Below are 20,018 nucleotides of genomic sequence, written 5' to 3'. Positions count from 1 at the left end.
TATGAGGCAAAAATATCAGGTAACCTATAAAGAAAAACCTATCAGATTAACAGCAGATATCTCAGCAAAAACCCTACAAGCTAGAATAGATTAGGGTCCTATCTTTAGCCTCCTTAAACCAAAAAATTATCAGCCAAGAATTTTGTAGCCAGCAAGACTAAGCTTTCATAAATGAAGGAAAGATACAGTCATTAACAGACAAACAAATGCTAAGAGAATTTGCCACTACCAAGCCAGCACTACAAGAACTGCTAAAAGGAGCTCTAAATCTTGAAACAAATACTTGAAATACACCAAAATAGAATCTCCATAAAGCATAAATCTCACAGAACCTTAAAAAAACAACAACAAAATGAAAGAAAACCCAAGGTATTCAGGCAACAAATTGCACAATGAATAGAATAGTACCTCACGTCTCAATACTAACATTAAATGTAAATGTCCTAAATGCTCCATTTAAAAGATATAGAATGCAGAACTGGTAAGAATTTACCAACCAAGTTCCTGCTGTCTTCAAAAGACTCATCTGACACCTAAGGACTCACCTAAACTTAAGGTAAAGGGGTGGAAAAGATATTCCATGCAAATGGACACCAAAAGTGAGCAGGAGTTGCTATTTTTATATCAGACAAAACAAACTTTAAAACAACAGCAGTTAAAAAAGACAAAGAAGGACATTACATAACGATAAAAGGACTAGTCCAACAGGAAAATATCACAACCCTAAATATATATGCACCTAACACTGGAACCCCCAAATTTATAAAACAATTACTATTAGACCTAAGAAATGAGATAGATAGCAGCACAGTAACAGTGGGGACTCCAGTACTGCACTGACAGCACTAGAGAGGTCATCAAGATAGAAAGTCAACAAAGAAACACTTAAACAATACCCTAGAACAAATGGACTTAACAGATATTTACAGAACATTCTACCCAACAACTGCAGAATATACATTCTATTCATCAGCACATGCACCATTCTCCAAGATAGACCATATGATAGGCCATAAAACAAGTGTCAACAAATTTAAGAAAATGAAATTATAGCAAGTACTATCTCTCGGACCACAATGGAATAAAATTAGAAATCAACCGGGTGCAGTGGCTCATGCCTGTAATCCCAGCATTTTTGGAGGCCAAGGCAGGTGGATCACCTGAGGTCAGGAGTTCAAGACCAGCCGGACCAACATGGGGCGAAACCCCATCTCTACTAAAAATACAAAATTTAGCTGGATGTGGTGGTGCATGCCTGTAATCCCAGCTACTTGGGAGGGTGAGGCAGGAGAATCACTTGAACCTGGGAGGTAGAGGTTGCAGTGAGCCGAGATTGTGCCATTGCACTCCAGCCTGGGTGACAAGAGAGAAACTCCATCTCAAAAAATAAAAATAAAAATTGGAAATCAACTTCAAAAGGAACCTTCAAAACCATGCAAATATATAGAAATTAAATAACCTGCTCTTGAATGATCATTGTGTCCACAATGAAATCAGATGGAAATTTAAAAATTCTTTGAACTGAATGATAATAGTGACACAACCTATCAAAACCTCTGGGATACAACAAAGGCAGTACTAAGAAGAAAGTTCACAGCATTAAATGCCTGTATCAAAAAGTTTGAAACAGCACAAATAGAGAACCTAAGGTCACAACTCAAGGAACTAGAGAAACAAGAACAAACCAAACCCAAACCCAGCACAAGAAAAGAAATAATAAAAATCAGAGCAGAATTAAATGATATTGAAACAAACAAACAAAAATACAAAAGATAAATGAAACAAAAAGCTGTCTCTTTGAAAAGACATATAAAATTGATAGACTATTAGTGAGATAACCCAAGTAAAGAATAAGTTCAATTAGAAACAAAACAGACAATACTACAACGGATACCACAGAAATGCAAAAGATCATTCAATGCTACCATGAACATCTTTATATACATAAACTAGAAAACCTAGAGGAGATGGATAAATTTCTGGAAATATATAGCCCTCCTAGATTAAACCAGGAAAAAATAGAAACTCTGAACAAACCAATGAAAAGCAGCCAGATTGAAATGGCAATTTAAAATTGCTAACAAAAAAAAGTCCAGGAACAGACAGATTCACAGCTGAATTCTATCAGACATTCAAAGAAGAATTGGTACCAATCCTACTGACACTATTCCAAAAGATAGAGAAAGAGGGGATCCTTTCTAAATCATTCTATGAAGCCAGTATCACCCTAATACCAAAACTAGCAAAGGATGTAACAAAAAAGAAAACTACAGACCAATATCTCTGATGAATATAGATGCAAAAATCCTCAACATAATACTAGCAAACTGAATCCACCAGCATATCAAAAAGATAATCCACCATGATCAAGTGGGTTTCATATCAGGGATGCAGGGATGGTTTAACATCAGTAAGTCAATAAATGTGATACACCACATAAACAGAATTTAAAACAAAAATCACATGATCATCTCAATAGACACAGAAAAAGCAGTTGACAATATCCAGCGTCGCTTTATGATTAAAACCCTCAGCAAAATCGGCATAGAAAGGTCACACCTTAAGGTAATAAAAGCCATTTATTATAAACCCACGGCCAACATTATACTGAATAGGGAAAAGTTGAAGGCATTCCCCTGAGACCTGGAACAAGACAAGGATGCCCACTTTCACCATTATATTCAACATAGTACTGAAAGTTCTAGCCAGCACATTGAACAAGAGAAAAAAATAAAGGGTATCAAACTGATAAAGAGGAAGTCAAATTGTCGCTGTTTGCAGATGACATAATGGTATACCTGGAAAACCCCAAAGACTCCACCAAAAAGCTCCTAGAACTGGTAAATGAATTCAGCAAAGTTTCAAGATACAAAATTAGTGTACACAAATTAATAGCCCTGCTATACACCAACTGTGATCAGTGATAATCAAATCAAGAATTCAACCCCTTTTACAATAGCTGAAAAAATAAATAAAATAAAATATTTAGGAATATACTTAACCAAGGAGGTGAAAGACCTCTACAAGGAAAATTACAAAACACTGCTGAAAGAAATCTTAGATGACACAAACAAATGCAAACATATCCATGCTCATGGATGGGTAGAATCAATATTGTGAAAATAACCCTACTGCCAAAAGCAATCTACAAATTCAATGCAATTCCCATTAAAATACCACCATCATTCTTCACAGAACTGGAAAAAAATCCTAAAATTCATATGGAACAAAAAAAGAGTCTGCATAGCCAAAGCAAGACTAAGTAAAAATAATAAATCAAAGGCATTACATTATCCAACTTCAAAATACACTATAAAGCCCTAGTCACAAAAACAGCATGGTACTGGTATAAAAAAAGGCATATAGACCAATGGAACAGAGTAGAGAACCCAGAAATAAGCCAAATGATTACAGTCAACTGATCTTTGACATAGCAAACAAAAACATAAAGTGGAAAAGGACATTCTATTCAACAAATAGTGCTAAGATAATTGACAAGCCACATGTAGAAGAATAAAACTGGATCCTCATCTCTCACCTTATACAAAAATCAACTCAAGATGGATCAAAGACTTAGATCTAACACCTGAAACCATAAAAATTCTAGAATACGACATTGGAAAAACTCTTTTAAAATTGGCTTAGGCAAAGCCTTCATGACCAAGAACCCAAAAACAAATGCAACAAAACCAAAGATAAATAGATGGAGCTTAATTAAACTAAAAACTTCTGCACAGCAAAAGAAATAATCAGCAGACTAAACAGACAACTCACAAAGTAGGGGGAAATCTTTGCTATCTATACATCTGACAAAGGACTAATATCCAGAAGCTACAAGGAATTCAAACAAATCAGCAAGAAAAAAAAAATCCCATCAAAAAGTGAGCTAAGGACATGAATAGACAATTCTCAAAAGAAGATACACAAATGGCCAAAAAACATATGGAAAAATGCTCAACATCACTAATGATCAGGGAAATGCCTGATCAAAACCACAATGTGATACTACCTTACTCCTGCAAGAATGGCCATAATCAAAAAATCAAAAACTAATAAATGTTGGCATGGATGTAGTGAAAAGGAACACTTTTACACTGTCTGTGGGAAGGTAAACTAGTACAACCACTGTGGAAAACAGTGTGGAGATTCCTTAAAGAACTAAAAATAGATCTACAATTTGATCCAGCAATCACACTCCTGGGTATCTACCCAGAGGAAGAGAAGTCATTATATGAAAAAGATACTCACACATACATGTTTACAGCAGCACAATTTGACATTTCAAAAATATAGTACCAGCCCAAATGCCCATCAATCAACAAGTGGATAAAGAAAATATGATTTATATATATATATGTGTGTGTGTGTGTGTGTGTGTGTGTGTGTGTAATGGAATACTATTCAGCCATAAAAAATGAATAAAATAATGGCATTTGCAACAACCTGGATGGAATTGGAGACCATTACTCTAAGTGAAGTGACTCGGGAATGGAAAACCAAATATTATATATTCTTGCACGTAAGTGGGAGCTAAGCTATGAGGATGCAAAGGTGTAAGAATGATACAATGAACTTTGGAGACTCAGGAGACTCAGTTGCTTATTAAAGGGTGGGAGGGAGTGAGGAATAAAAGACTACAAATTGGGTACAGTTAAACTGCTCAGGTGATGACTGCACCAAAATCTCAGAAATCACCACTAAATAACATATTCACGTAACCAAACAGCACCCATTCCCCAAAAACCTATTGAAAAAAACGTGATCACAAAATAAGACTACATATTGGGTGCAGTGTACACTGCTTGGGTGACGGGTGCACTAAAATCTCAGAAATCACCTCTAAAGAACTTATCCACATAACCAAAAACCACCTGCCCAAAAACAATTGACAATGGCTAGGTGCGGTGGCTCACGTCTGTAATCCCAGCACTTTGGGAGGTCAAGGCAGGCAGATAACTTGAGGTCAGGAGTTTGAGACCAGCCTGCCCATCATGGTGAAATCCTGTCTCTGCTAAAAATACAAAAATTAGCTGGGCATGGTGGTGTGCGCCTGTAATCCCAGCTGCTCTGGAGGCTGAGGCAAGAGAATCGCTTCAACCCAGAAGGCAGAGGTTGCAGGGAAACGAGATCATGCCACTGCACCCCAGCCTGGGTTACAGAGTGTGAGATTCCATCTAAAACATTAAAAAAAAAACTATTGACATTAAAAATAATACTAATAATAAAATGAAAATAAATAAAAAATAAAAGCAGCACTTCTCACTGTGTTCTACAAGGCCCTGGTATGGCCCTCCCCAGCCTCTCCACGTCATCTTCTACTACTCTTCACCGAGCTTCAGCCATGCCAGTCACCCTGATGTCCCTCAAACACACCAGGTGTCGTTCTCCCTCAGTCCTTTATATGTGTTCCTTCTGCCAACATCCCAGGCCTCACAACTTTTTTCTCAACTTGCAAATTTCATCTCAAATGTCACCTCCTCAGACAGTTTTCTCTAATCCCCCATACCCAGTTACCCTCCATTCTACAATCCTGTTTCCTTCATGGCAGCTTGATCTAAAAGGAGACCATTTCTTTATTTGTTCTCTAAATACTATAATTCTCCCCTACTAGAATGCAAACTCTGGCAGGGCAGGTTCTTGTCCAACTTGTTTATATCTGTATCACTGGCACCAGGTAATAAAGAAACATTTGGTAATCATTAGCCAAATGAATGAATGAGCAAATGACCAAAAGAACAGGTATTAAATCCAATTCAAATAACTCCTTCCAAAAAGAATTCCTGGATGACATTAGGTATCCTTTTCTGATGGACATTATGTTGCAATAATAATGACCGACAGTTAAAGGAGCATGTAATGATGGTCTACTATTATCTACTTATTAAGAAATAGTTACTTAGTTCTGAATACCTGGCAAGCACTCTGTAAGTTACTGGAAGTACAAAGACCAAGAAGAGAAGCATGGTCTGTGTTCTCAGTGTAGCTTTTTATTCAAAATGAAAAATGTTCCCGCTAGTACAGATTGCTAAAATTCAAAGTCAACCCTCAACAATTTCTATTTTAACCAAAACTGTAACTCTGACTGCATTATGAAACACACTAGATTTTTTATCAGATCAGATAGAAAGCACAACATTCAATTACTTATTCTTATTTCTGCCCACTGTTCTAAAAGAGAAAAGGATATTAAAACATTTAAAACTGCAGATAGCAAGAGAGGAAAGAAAGAGACAAGAAAAGTTTTACTACCTGTCAAGGCATAAGCTACCCATAATGTGCAAAATCAAGAATTATCTGTAAGAGTTTTCCTAAAGAATCTCACATTGCTGTATTCAGCAATATCTACCAAGAAGTACAGAAAATCCAATATAAAACAGTTGCTTATTTCATAGTGACATGGTTTGAATCTGTGTCCCTACCAAATCTCATGTTGAATTTTAACCTCTAGTGTTGGAGTTGGGGCCTGGGGGTGACCAGATCATGGGGGTGGAATTCTCATGAATGGTTTAGCACCACACCCTCGGTACTGTTCTCTAATAAATAAATAAATAAATAAATGATAAAACACCCCCTTTGGTGTTGTTGTAATAGTGAAAGAGTGAGTTCTCATGAGATCTGGTTGTTTTAAAGTGAGTAGCACCTGCCAGGCATGGTGGCTTATGCCTGTAATCCCAGCACTTTGGGAGGCAGGCGGATCACAAGGTCAGGAAATCAAGACCATCCTGGCCAACATGGTGAAACCCGTCTCTACTAAAATACAAAAAAAAAAATTAGCCGGGCATGGTGGCACACCGCCTATAGTCCCAGCTACTCAGGAGGCTGAGGCAGGGGAATTGCTTGAACCCAGTAGGCAGAGGTTGCAGTGAGCCAAGATCGCACCACTGCACTCCAGCCGGGCGGCAGAGTGAGACTCCATCAAATAAAAAAAAAAAAAATGTGTAGCACCTACTCCCTCTCTCTCTTGTTCCTGCTCCACCACATAAGATAACTAGCTCCCTGTTTGCCTTTCACTATGATTGCAAGTTTCCTGAGGCCTCCCCAGAAGTAGAACAGATACCTCCATGCTTTCTGAACAGCCTGTAGAACCATGGGATAATTAAAATTCTTCTTTATAAATTACCCGGTCTCAAGTATTTCTTTATGGCAGTGCAAGAACAAACTAATACACATAGTTCAGATATGTTAAATCATGAATGGCAGAAATAACTCCATAAAACAAAATCATCAACAATTTGCCTCTAGTGTATGGGCCTATCCTATTCCAAGAACCCAACTTCATAAAATAATCCCACTATCTTATCAGTCTGGCACATAAGGGTTAAGGAGATAGGGCCCAGGGCTCTGAAGTCATCAGATCCAGGTTCAATCAGAATGGTAAATTGTACAAATATATGCACATATATATACCATATAAAATTCTATTTCAAGGTTTTTAATTACTTACCACTTTGCCCAGTTTTCTCTCATAGGCTTTATGCCGTAGTCCTAATCCCAACAATCCCACACCAACAAGCAGCCACAGAACTAAACAGAAAAAAGAAATAATTGGGTTTTTTTAAAATAAATAAAATAAAATAAATTTGCTGACACTGACCTTCAGTGCCTCAGCTCCAGTGCCATGGCACCCTCCAGGAAGTTCTTCTTGGAGGACCTGGAAGATGAATGGGTGGAAGAAGAGTCTTGGGGAGCTCATTGACACTGAACGTGACCAAGGTGCCAGCCGACGCTGAGGTGGTTTGCTCTCCCCCAACTGCCTATATCGACTTCACCCAGCAGAAGCTAGATCCCAAGATTGCTGTGCCTGCGCAGAACTGCTACAAAGTGACTAATGGGGCCTTTACTGGGGAGATCAGCCCTGGCATAATCAAAGACTGCAGAGCTACGTGGGTAGTCCTGGGGCACTCGGAGAGAAGGCATGTCTTTGGGGAGTCAGATGAACTGATTGAGCAGAAAGTGGCCCGTGCTCTGGCAGAGGGACTTGGAGTAATCACCTGCATTGGGAAGAAGCTAGATGCAAGGGAAGCTGGCATCACTGAGAAGGTTGTTTTCGAGCAGGCAAAGGTCATCACAGATAAGGTGAATGGACTAAGCAGCCCAGAAGCCCAGTAACTGCCCCTCCCCTGCACATGCTTCTGATGGTGTCATCTGCCCTCTTTTGTGGCCTCATCCAAACTGTACCTTCCTTTACTGTTTATATCTTCACCCTGTAATGGTTGAGACCAGGCCAATCCCTTCTCCGCTTACTATAATGGTTGGAACTAAACGTCACCAAGGTGGCTTCTCCTTGGCTGAGAGATGGAAAGGGTGGAATTTGCTCCTGGGTCCCCTAGGCCCCAGTGAAGGCAGGAGATAAACCATCCTCTCCCTTCTTACACCATGAGGCCAAGATCCTCCCATCAGAAGCCAGGAATGCTGCCCTCTTCCATGGTGCCCACTCCTGTGTGTGCTCTGTATGCGAACCACTCACATGGGAGGGAATAAACACATGGCACTAGGGAAAAAAAACACCTAAATTTGTTTTAAAATAACAAGGTTTATAAAATTATTGAATTTATTGGCCAATGATTTTGTGCAAAGGGGAAATGTGTAGTTCTTCGGTTAATTTTCATGTGTGACATGTGTACATCAACCACTCTTTAAACCCAGATTTCAAGAATTTCCCCTAAAAATGTTCCAAGGACCATGAGCTTAAAGTAAAAATAAGTCACAAAACACACAAGAAAACAAGTTTCCATGAGCAGGAAACAAAGAAAAAAACACCCTGCAGAATCAAGCCCACAAAGAGACAGATGTTGGAACTCTCTGAATCAGAATATAAAACAAGTATGCTTATTATATTTACAGAAATAAAAGAGGGTATTCAAAAGTATGACTAGGGAACATGAGACTAAAATAAATAATCAGAAAATTTTGAAAAGAAATCAAATAGAGTTCTAGAAATAAAAAGATAATTATAATAATTGAAATTAGAAACTCAAAGACAATCAAATTAGACAAAGCTGAATAGAGAGTTAGTTCAAGGGGCAGCCCAAAACATAGAGGCAGAAAATATGAAAGAGGTTAACAGCAATGGAAAACAGAATAAGAAAGTCCAACACATATCTAATTGGAGTCAAAAAGAAAGAGAAAGAATGGGAAAGAAGCAATATTTGCAGAAACAATGTTGAGAATTTTCCAGAAATAATAAAAGACATGACTCTTCAGATTCATAAAGCCTGAAGACTATCAAGCAAGATGGAGGAAAAAATCTGCATCCAGATATATCACAGTGAAACTACGGAACACCAAAACACAGAAAAATCTTAAGAGCTGCCAAAGAGAAAAGACAGATTATTTTCCAAGGAAAAACAATTACACTGACAGCTGACTTCTCAACAGCAGAAGACAGGAGAATAATATCTTCAATGTGCTAAGAGAAAAACAACCAACTACTAAAAGAATAGATATTGAAAGTATAATTTCCAAACTAGAAAGAGGAGTGGGGAGGAGGGGCATAAGGGAAAAAAAAAACCCTAATCAATGAAAAAAATATCAAAAAGAAAAAGGAAAAAACATACCTAGAAAAAGTGGAAAATGAAAAAGAAAAGTAAGATGATCACATTAGATAAATATACATTCAGAAATCATGGTAAAAATAGATTAAACCCTTAAAAGACAAAAATTGACATTCTGGAAAATGCAAAACAATGAAAACAGTAAAACATTAGTGGTTGCCAGGGGTTTGGAGGAGGAATCGATGATTAGGTGAGGCACAGGGGATGTTTAGGGCAGAGAAAGTATTCTGTATGATACCGCACTGAGGGATCTATGTAATTATACATTTGTCAAAACTCCTAAACTGTACAAAGCTAAAAGTGAACCCTAATGTAAACTATGGCCTTTGGGTGACAATGATGTATCAATGTAGGTTCATTTATTTTAACAAATGTATCATTCTGGTGAGTAATTTTGATAGTGGGGGGTGCTGTATGTATGTGGGGGCATGAGGCATATGGAAAAATCTCCACGCTTTCCATATAATTTTCCTATGAACCTAAAATTGCTCTAAGAAACTTGTCTTTTTTTAATCACACAAAAATGACTAAATAACTGTAAATAAACTGTTCCAAATGCCTCGATTTGATAAGTGAATTAAAGAATTGTGGTTCTTACCAACAACAAAAAAAAAGACAAAGATTGTCAGGATTAAAAACAAAAACTGCTAGTTATTTGTTTCAAGGGATATACCAAAACATAAGAAAACACACAAAAAAAATCTCATTTCTCCCTAAGTTTAAATAGAATCTTTTCTTCTCTCTTTTTTTTTTTTTTTTTGAGTCAGAGTCTCATTCTGTCATCCATGCTGAAGTGCAGTGGCACCATCACTGCAGCCTTGACCTCCCAGGCTCAAAAGATCCTCCCACTTCACCCTCGCCCTCCCTAGTAGCTGAGACTACTGGGACTGCAGGTGCACCACCACAAATGGCTGATTTTTAAATTTTTTGTAGAGATGGGGTCTCACTACATTGCTTATGCTGGTCTCGAACTCCTGGCCCCAAGCAATCCTCCTGCCTTGGCCTTTCAAAGTGCTGGGATTACAGAAGTGAACCACTGCACCTGGCCAAATATAATCTTTTAAATTAAGATGAAACATATATGAAGGTTTTTATATAATGGTCTGTTTTGTGATATTTCTTTTGGAAATACATAGAGAACTTATACAGCTTCTTAATTGTTTTTTATATCTTTACACTATAATATTTTGTCTCCTTTGTAAAGCACCAAGTCCTTGAAGGTGGAGACCATTATTCACATCTTTGAATCCTACTTAACAACTACTTAACACGCTGTCTTCACATTAAATACATTCAGTACATTTTTATTTAATCCAGTCTATTTTACATGAGTTTACTATATTGAATAGTAAACTAATTTCATGTTTGAGATTTTAGTTCATCAGCATCCCAAACATTAACATAATCTCCCCAAAAAAGGAAAACAAGAAATGGAGTAAATAGTCTCAACCATTAGAACAAATCATTTTGGAAATTCTGCATGTTGAATTCTCTTATCTATGTTAGAAGTGAAATAAAACCAATACAGAGTATTTATGGTGGAAATGGCATGATATCAGAGATTTGCTTTAAAGTACAAAAAAAAAAGTAGAGAAATAGATGGACGAATAGGAACAGCTCTGTTCTGCAGCTCCCAGCATGATCGACACAGAAGACAGGCGATTTCTGCATTTCCAACTGAGGTACCTGGTTCATCTCATTGGAACTGGTTGCACAGTGGGCACAGCCCATGGAGGGTGATCTGAAGTAGGGCGTGGCATCACCTCACCCGGGAAGTGCAAGGGGCCAGAGGATTTCCCTTTCCTAGCCAAGGCAAGCCATGACAGACTGTACCTGGAAAAACAGGACACTCCCGCCAAAATACTGTGTTTTTCCCATGGTCTTAGCAACCGGCAGAACAGGAGATACCATCCTGTGCCTGGCTGGGTGGGTACCTCACACAGGGAGCCTTGCTCACTGCTAGTGCAGCAGTCTGAGATCAACCTCCAAGGCGCAGCCTGGTTGGGGGAGGGGCATCTGCCATTGCTGAGGCTAGAGTAAGTAAACAAAGCAGCCAGGAAGCTGGAACAGGGTGGAGCCCACCACAGCTCAGCAAGGTCTACTGCCTCTATGGACTCCATCTCTGTGGGCCAGGCATAGCTGAACAAAAGGCAGGAGAAACTTCTGCAGACTTAAACGTCCCTGTCTGACAGCTCTGAAGAGAGCAGTGGTTCTCCCAGCACGGCATTTGAGCTCTGAGAACAGACAGACTGCCTCCTCATGTAGGTCCCTGACCCCCATGTAGCCTAACTGGGAGACACCTCCCAGTAGGGGCTAACAGACACCTCATACAGGTGGGTGCCAATCTAGGACAAAGCTTCCAGATGAAGGATCAGGCAGCAATATTTACTATTCTGCAATATTTCCTATTCTGCAGCCTCCACTGGTGATACCCAGGCAAACGTCTGGAGTGGACCTCCAGCAAACTCCAACAGACCTGCAGCTAAAGGACCTGACTGTTAGAAGGAAAACTAACAAACAGAAAGGAATAGCATCAGCATCAACAAAAAGGACATCCACACCAAAACTCCATCTGCAGGTCACCAACATCAAAGACCAAAGATAGATAAAACCACAAAGATGGGGAGAAACCAGATCAGAAAAGCCAAAAATTCTAAAAACCAGAGTGCCTCTTCTCCTCCAAAGGATCACAGCTCCTCACCAGCAATGGAACAAAGCTGGACGGAGAATGACTTTGATGAGTTGACAGAAGTAAGCTTCAGAAGGTGGCTAATAACAAACTTCTCCGAGCTAAAGGAGCTTGTTCTAACCCATTGCAAGGAAGCCAAAAACCTTGAAAAATGTTAGACGAATGGCTAACTAGAATAAACGTGTAGAGAAGACCCTAAATGACCTGATGGAGTTGAAAACAATGGCACAAGAACTTCGTGATTCATGCACAAGCTTCAATAGCTGATTTGATCAAGTGGAAGGAGGATATCAGTGATTGAAGATCAAATTAATGAAATAAAGTCAGAAGACAAGTTTAGAGAAAAAAGAGTGAAAAGAAATGAACAAATCCTCCAAGAACTTTGGAACTATGTGAAAAGACCAAATCTAGGTTTGATTGGTGTACCTGAAAGTGACGGGGAGAATGGAACCAAGTTGGAAAACACTCTTCAGGATATTATCCAGAAGAACTTCCCCAACCTAGCAAGGCAAGCCAACATTCAAATTCAGGAAATACAGAGAACACCACAAAGATATTCCTCAAGAAGAGCAACCCCAAGACACATGACTGTCAGATTCACCAAGGTTGAAATAAAGGAAAAAATGTTAAGGGCAGCCAGAGAGAAATGTTGGGTTACCCAAAAAGGGAAGCCCATCAGACTAACAGCGGATCTTTTGTCAGAAACCCTACAAGCCAGAAGAGAGTGGAGACCAATATTCAACATTCTTAAAGAAAAGAATTTTCAACCCAGAATTTTATAACTAAGCTTCATAAGTGAAGGAGAAATAAAATACTTTACAGACAAGCAAATGCTGAGAGATTTTGCCACCACCAGGCCTGCCCTAAAAGAGCTCCTGAAGGAAGCACTAAACATGGACAGGAACAACCGGTACCTGCAAAAACACGCCAACCAGTACCATGCAAAAACATGCCAAATTGTAAGGACCGTCGATGCTATGAAGAAACTGCACCAATTAATGGGCGAATAACCAGCTAACATCATAATGATAGGATCAAATTCACACATAACAATATTCACCTTAAATGTAAATGGGCTAAATGCCCAGACACAGACTGGCAAATTGGATAGTCAAGACCCATTACTGTGCTGTATTCAGGAGACCCATCTTGCATGCACACACACATGGGCTCAAAATAAAGGGATGGAGGAAGATCTACCAAGCAAATGGAAAGCAAAAAAAAAGCAGGGGTTGCAATCCTAGTCTCTGATACAACAGGCTTTAAACCAACATAGATCAAAAGAGACAAAGAAGGCCATTACATAATAGTAAAGGGATCAATTCAACAAGAAGAGCTAACTATCCTAAATATATATGCACCTAATACAGGAGCACCCAGATTCATAAAGCAAGTCCTTAGAGACCTACAAAGAGACTTAGACTCCTACACAATAATAATAGGAGACTTTAATACCCCACTGTCAATATTAGACATATCAATGAGACAGAAGGTTAACAAGGATATCCAGGACTTGAACTCAGCTCTGCACCAAGCGGAACTAATAGACATCTACAGAACTCTCCACCCCAAATCAACAGAATATACATTTTTCTCAGAACCACATCACACTTATTCCAAAATTGACCACATAAATGGAAGTAAAGCACTCCTCAGCAAACATAAAAGAACCAAAATCATAACAAACTGTCTCTTAGATCACAGTGCAATGAAATTAGAATTCAGGATTAAGAAACTCACCCAAAACCACACAACTACCTGGAAACCGAACAACCTGCTCCTGAATGACTACTGGGTAAATAATGAAATGAAGGCAGAAATAAAGATGTTCTTTGAAACCAATGAGAACAAAGACACAATGTACAAGAATCTCTGGGACACATTTAAAGCAGTGTGTAGAGGGAAATTTATAGAACTAAATGCCCAAAACAGACAGCAGGAAAGATCTAAAATCGACACCCTAACATCACAATTAAAAGAGCTAGAGAAGCAAGAGCCAGCAAATTCAAAAGCTAGCAGAAGGCAAGAAATAACTAAGATCAGAGCAGAACGAAAGGAGATAGAGACACAAAAATCCTTCAAAAAAATCAATGAATCCAGGAGGTGGTTTTTTGAAAAGATTAACAAAATTGATAGATCACTAGCAAGACTAATAAAGAAGAAAAGAGAGAAGAATCAAATAGACATGATAAAAAATGATAAAGGGATATCACCTTCAATCCCACAGAAATACAAACTACCATCAGAGAATACTATAAACACCTCTATGCAAATAAACTAGAAAATCTAGAAGACATTGATAAATTCCTGTACACATACACCCTCCCAAGACTAAACTAGGAAGAAGTTGAATCTCTGAATAGACCAACAACAAGCTCTGAAATTGAGGCAATAATTAACAGCCTACCAACCAAAAAAAGTCCAGGACCAGAAGGATTCACAGCCGAATTCTACCACAGGTACAAAGAAGAGCTGGTAACATACCTTCTAAAACTATTCCAATCAATAGAAAAAGAGGGAATCCTCCCTAACTCATTTTATGAGACCAGCATCATCCTGATACCAAAGCTTGGCAGAGACACAACAAAAAAAGAGAACTTTAAACCAATATCCCTGATATACATCACTGTGAAAATCCTCAATAAAATACTGGCAAACCAAATCCAGCAGCACATCAAAAAGCTTATCCACCAAGATCAAGTTAGCTTCATCCCTGGGATGCAAGGTGGGTTCAACATATGCAAGCCAATAAACATAATCCATCACATAAACAGAACCAAAGACAAAAACCACGTGATTATCTCAATAGATGCAGAAAAGGCCTTCGACAAAATTCAACAGTGCTTCATGCTAAAAACCCTCAATAAACTAGGTATTAATGGAATATATCTGAAAATAATAAGAGCCCTTTATGACAAACCCACAGTCAATATCATACCGAATGGGCAAAAACTGGAAGCATTCCGTTTGAAAACCAGCACAAGACAAGTATGCCCTCTCTCACCACTCCTATTCAACACAGTGTTGGAAGTTCTGGCCAGGGCAATCAGGCAGGAGAAGGGAATAAAGTGCATTCAGTTAGGAAAAGAGGAAGTCAAATTGTCCCTGTTTGCAGATGACATGACTGTATATTTAGAAAACCCCATCATTTCAGCCCAAAATCTCCTTAAGCTGATAAACAACTTCAGCAAAGTCTCAGGATACAAAATCAGTGTGCAAAAATCCCAACCATTCCTATACACCAATAACAGACAAACAGAGAGCCAAATCATGAGTGAACTTCCATTCACAATTGCTACAAAGAGAATAAAATACCTAGGAATCCAACTTAAAAGAGATGTGAAGGACCTCTTCAAGGAGAACTACAAACCACTGCTCAATGAAATAAAAGAGGACACAAACAAATGGAAGAATATTCCATGCTCATGGATAGGAAGAATCAATATCATGAAAATGGCCATACTGCTCAAGGTAATTTATAGATTAAATGCCATCCCCATCAAGTCACCAATGACTTTCTTCACAGAATTGGAAAAAACTACTTTAAAGTTCATATAGAACCAAAAAAGAGCCCACATAGCCAGGACAATCCTAGGCAAAAAGAACAAAGCTGGAGGCATCAGGCTACCTGACTTCAAACTATACTACAAGTCTACAGTAACCAAAACAGCATGGTACTCATACCAAAACAGATATATAGACCAATTGAACAGAACAGAGGCCTCAGAAATAACACCTCACATCTACAACCATCTGATCTTTGACAAACCTGACAAAAACAAGAAAGGAGGAAAGGGTTCCCTATTTAACAAATGGTGCTGGGAAAACTGGCTAGCCATATGGAGAAAGCTGAAACTGGATTTCTTCCTTGCACTTTGTACAAAAATTAATTCAGGATGGATTAAAGACTTAAATATTAGACCTAAAACCATAAAAGCGCTAGAAGAAAACCTAGGCAATACCATTCAGGACATAGGCATAGACAAAGACTTCATGACTAAAACACCAAAAGCAACGCAACAAAAGCCAAAATTGACAAATGGGATCTAATTAAACTGAAGAGCTTCTGCACAGCAAAAGAAACTACCATCAGAGTGAACAGGAAACCTACAGAATGGGACAAAATTTTTGCAATCTATCCATGTGACAAAGGGCTAATATCCAGAATCTACAAAGAACTTAAACAAATTTACAAGAAAAAAAAAACAAACGACTCCATCAAAGAGTGGGCAAAGGATATGAACAGACACTTCTCCAAAGAAGACATTTATGCAGCCAACATACACATGAAAAAATGCTCATCATCACTGGGCATCAGAGAAATGCAAATCAAAACCACAATGGGATACCATCTCACACCAGTTAGAATGGTGATCATTAAAAACTCAGGAAACAACAGATGCTGGAGAGGATATGGAGAAATAGGAACGCTTTTATACTGTTGGTGGGAGTGTAAATAAGTTCAACCATTGTGGAAAACAGTGTGGTGATTCCTCAAGGATCTAGAACTAGAAATACCATTTGACCCAGCCATCCCATTACTGGGTATGTACCCAAAGGATTATAAATCATGCTACTATAAAGATACATGCACACGTATGTTTATTACAGCACTATTCACAATAGCAAAGACTTGGAACCAACCCAAATGTCCATCAATGATAGACTGGATTAAGAAAATGTGGCACATATACACCATGGAATACTAGGCAGCCATAAAAAATGAGTTCATGTCCTTTGCAGGGGCATGAATGAAGCTGGAAACATCATTCTCAGCAAACTATCACAAGGACAACAAACCAAACACCACATGTTCTCACTCATAGGTGGGAATTAAACAATGAGAACACACGGACACAGGGCGGGGAACATCACACACTGGGGCCTGCTGTGGGGTGGGGTGAGGGGGGAGGGATAGCATTAGGAGGAATACCTAATGTAAATGACGAGTTGATGGGTCCAGCAAACCAACATGGCACATGTATACCTATGTAACAAACCTGCACGTTGTGCACATGTACCCTAGAACTTAAAGTATAATTTTTTAAAAAAACTAGAGAAGATAGCTATTAACAACATGGCAAAATGTTGAGAATTGCTGAAACAGGATGAAGGATACATGAGGGATCATTATACTCTTTAATTTCATACGTTTAGAATTTTATATAATTAATTTTTTTTAAGAATGTAAAACTATACTTACAAAGTTTCATGTATTTTTCACTCTTTCTGAAAAGCACTTTAGAACTGTTTTTTGTTTGAAGAAGCAAGTCAAGGTTTTTCTTAGGACCAAATAGCATATTCAGCCCGATAATTAACATCATTGTCCCTGTTATAAGAGAAAGAAAGAATATGTTATAGTCTGATCCAAAAATCCTTCCAATGTTGTATTCCAGCAGCTGAGAGTTCCTTGAAAGGAACATACCCTGGAAATTCATGTACTGATTTAATTTATCTCAGAACCTAAACAATTACTCTAGTAGTGCTTTTGATAACTGGAAAATATCAGGTAGGGTTCTAGGAATCGTGCTTTAAATGACAGGACCCCAGCCTTTTCCCGATACATATTTCTTTGAATTTCTTGAGTATTTCCTAGTTGTTAGGTTGCTGAACGTGTTCATGACTGACTGTTGATTGGGCAGGGGACAGTGAAGTCTTCTGAGCTCCCATAGGGATGCAATAAGAGCCCTTCCGTGCACCAGGTTGAGGATCACAATGGATCATACGTAGGCTCTTAATATGGCAGTGCTTGTGATAATTCTGCCCCAGGATGTGAGTTTTCTGGGCACAGAGGCCTCACAGAGGATGCATGCTGGAAATCACAGTGTGCCAACAGGCCAGCCAATAAAGTGGAGCTAAATTGGGATATGCAACAAACTAGCTTACACTTAAAGTTTACTTACTTCATCTAAAACCATACATACTAAGAATGGAAACAGAGATATGCTGCCATATGGAAATTAAGAAATTAAGGCATTTAAGAAATGTCAAGTAAAAGTCAGAAGCCAAGCAAAAACAGCGGTGTCCAATTTTCCAGGAAATAGCAGGAGGAATCCAGGAAATAAATTTATAACTAAATTCTGATATAATAAATATTCTTTTCAACTCAGTTGTATTAAAAGCCACTCTGAATATTACCAACATTTCTTGGCTTTTGTGGCCTCATCAAATAACATCACTCTTATTTTTCTTTAAAGTTCTTAGTTGTATGAAGCTGTAATTATGCACTGTTTCTACAATTCCATAAGTAGTGAGAAGAAACTAAAAAAAAAACTCATCGTTCATAAAATTCTAAAGAAACAAACTCATGCATGGAATAGCTCTTACTTTCATTTGTTTTTTTCTCATGGCAGATCCCTAAGCAAGCTGGTATAAGAAAAAAAGCAGGGCATTGGACAAGAAAACAAAGCAGGAGAGAGTACACACACCTGAAATAAATCAGAAGAAATACAAAGTTTGCAAAGCCAAGGTTACCACGGAGGAAATGCAGCAATGTGTTTCTCTCATTAGATGAAAGCTTGAGTATTTACCAGAAATACCAAATTCTCCAAGTTAATTCAAAAATATTTCATGTAATTTTAAAATATGTCTTTCAAACCAGCCTCTCCTGACAGATGTCTAGCTCGTGGGGTAGAAAAGCATATGGCAAAATGTGCAGAGTAGTCGGATGTCTGTCAGGGCACCAGGGGAACTGTAACAGAACCCAGGTAGATGTAATCCCAGCACCTTGGGAGGCTGAGGCAAGAGAATTGCGTAAGCCCAGGAGTTCGACGCCAGCCTGGGCAACAAAGTGAGACCCCATCTCTACAAAAAACAACATAATCAGCCAGGCATGGTGGTGTGTGCCTGGAGACCCAGCTACTTGGGAGGTTGAGGGGGGAGCTCAAGGATACAGGGAGCTATGACTGCACCACTGCACTCCAGCTGGAGGAACAGAACAAGACCCTGTCTCAAAAAAAAAAAAAAGAAAAAAAAAAAACAGAACCCTAATAGAAGCCTTCACTTCTCCTGAGTAGCACTCACACAACTGTAATTTCTTAAGTATTTGTCTCGTTTTATATATGATGTTTCCCCCATTCAACTAAAGCTCCAGGTAGGCAAGGACAGTGGGTGTTTTTAATATTTCAGCAGCTGGGAGTGGTAGATAAAGTAGACCAGAAGAGTGAGAGGGTGGGAAAGGGGGCAATGATGAGAAATTGATTAATGGATACAATGTACCCTGTCAGGGTGATGGATACTCTAAATGCCCTGACTTAACCACTATGCAACCTATGCATGTAACAAAATTGCAATTGTACCCCACAAATTTATACAGATAAAAATGTGTAAAAATAATCTTCAGTATCTGGCACTGTTCCTGGAACATAAGGTACATGATCATTTTTTTTCAAAATGTAGACAACCAGTGAAATCGTGTTAATATTTTTAATGAATAAGTGAACAAACAAACAAGTAGATCCCTTATTAACATGTTTTTTCTCCTCATCTTTCAAACACTTTGTAGAAGTATTTGACATGTTACTTAAGCTAAAATTATGTAAACTAAAATGATTCACAACATTCGATTTATGTATGCCTAGTATACACCAATAATTGTATTATTGCCAGAAGCCAATTTTTAAAATATTAAAATTGAACTAAGTTTATGAAATTATAATTTTGGTATGTGAATCAATTTTTAAAATATTAAACTGAGCTAAGTTTATTAAATTATAATTTTGGTATGCAAATTCATAACCACTAAAATGGTAAATATATTTGTTCTATGACTTGGA

General features: G+C 38.3%; 1 protein-coding gene and 1 pseudogene across 7 annotated transcripts in view; one reads left to right on the top strand and one right to left on the bottom strand.

Annotated features, from left to right (window-relative positions):
* Window positions 1-20,018, bottom strand: part of CWH43 (cell wall biogenesis 43 C-terminal homolog) — a 75,805-nt gene that overhangs the window by 37,307 nt on the left and 18,480 nt on the right. For all 7 annotated transcript variants that reach the window (XM_011513755.2, NM_025087.3, XM_011513758.2 and 4 more), the window contains 2 exons: window positions 17,447-17,572; window positions 7,445-7,524 (listed from right to left, as the gene is read on the bottom strand). In XM_011513755.2, coding sequence (XP_011512057.1) covers window positions 7,445-7,524; window positions 17,447-17,572 — 206 coding nt within the window. The remainder of the gene's footprint in view (window positions 1-7,444; window positions 7,525-17,446; window positions 17,573-20,018) is intronic.
* Window positions 7,583-8,496, top strand: TPI1P4 (triosephosphate isomerase 1 pseudogene 4; annotated as a pseudogene).

This window comes from Homo sapiens, chromosome 4 (genome assembly GCF_000001405.40).
Source record: "Homo sapiens chromosome 4, GRCh38.p14 Primary Assembly".
Taxonomy (NCBI): Eukaryota; Metazoa; Chordata; class Mammalia; order Primates; family Hominidae; genus Homo; species Homo sapiens.
Note: the sequence above shows the minus strand (reverse complement) of the source record. Positions and strands in the feature narration are given on the sequence as shown.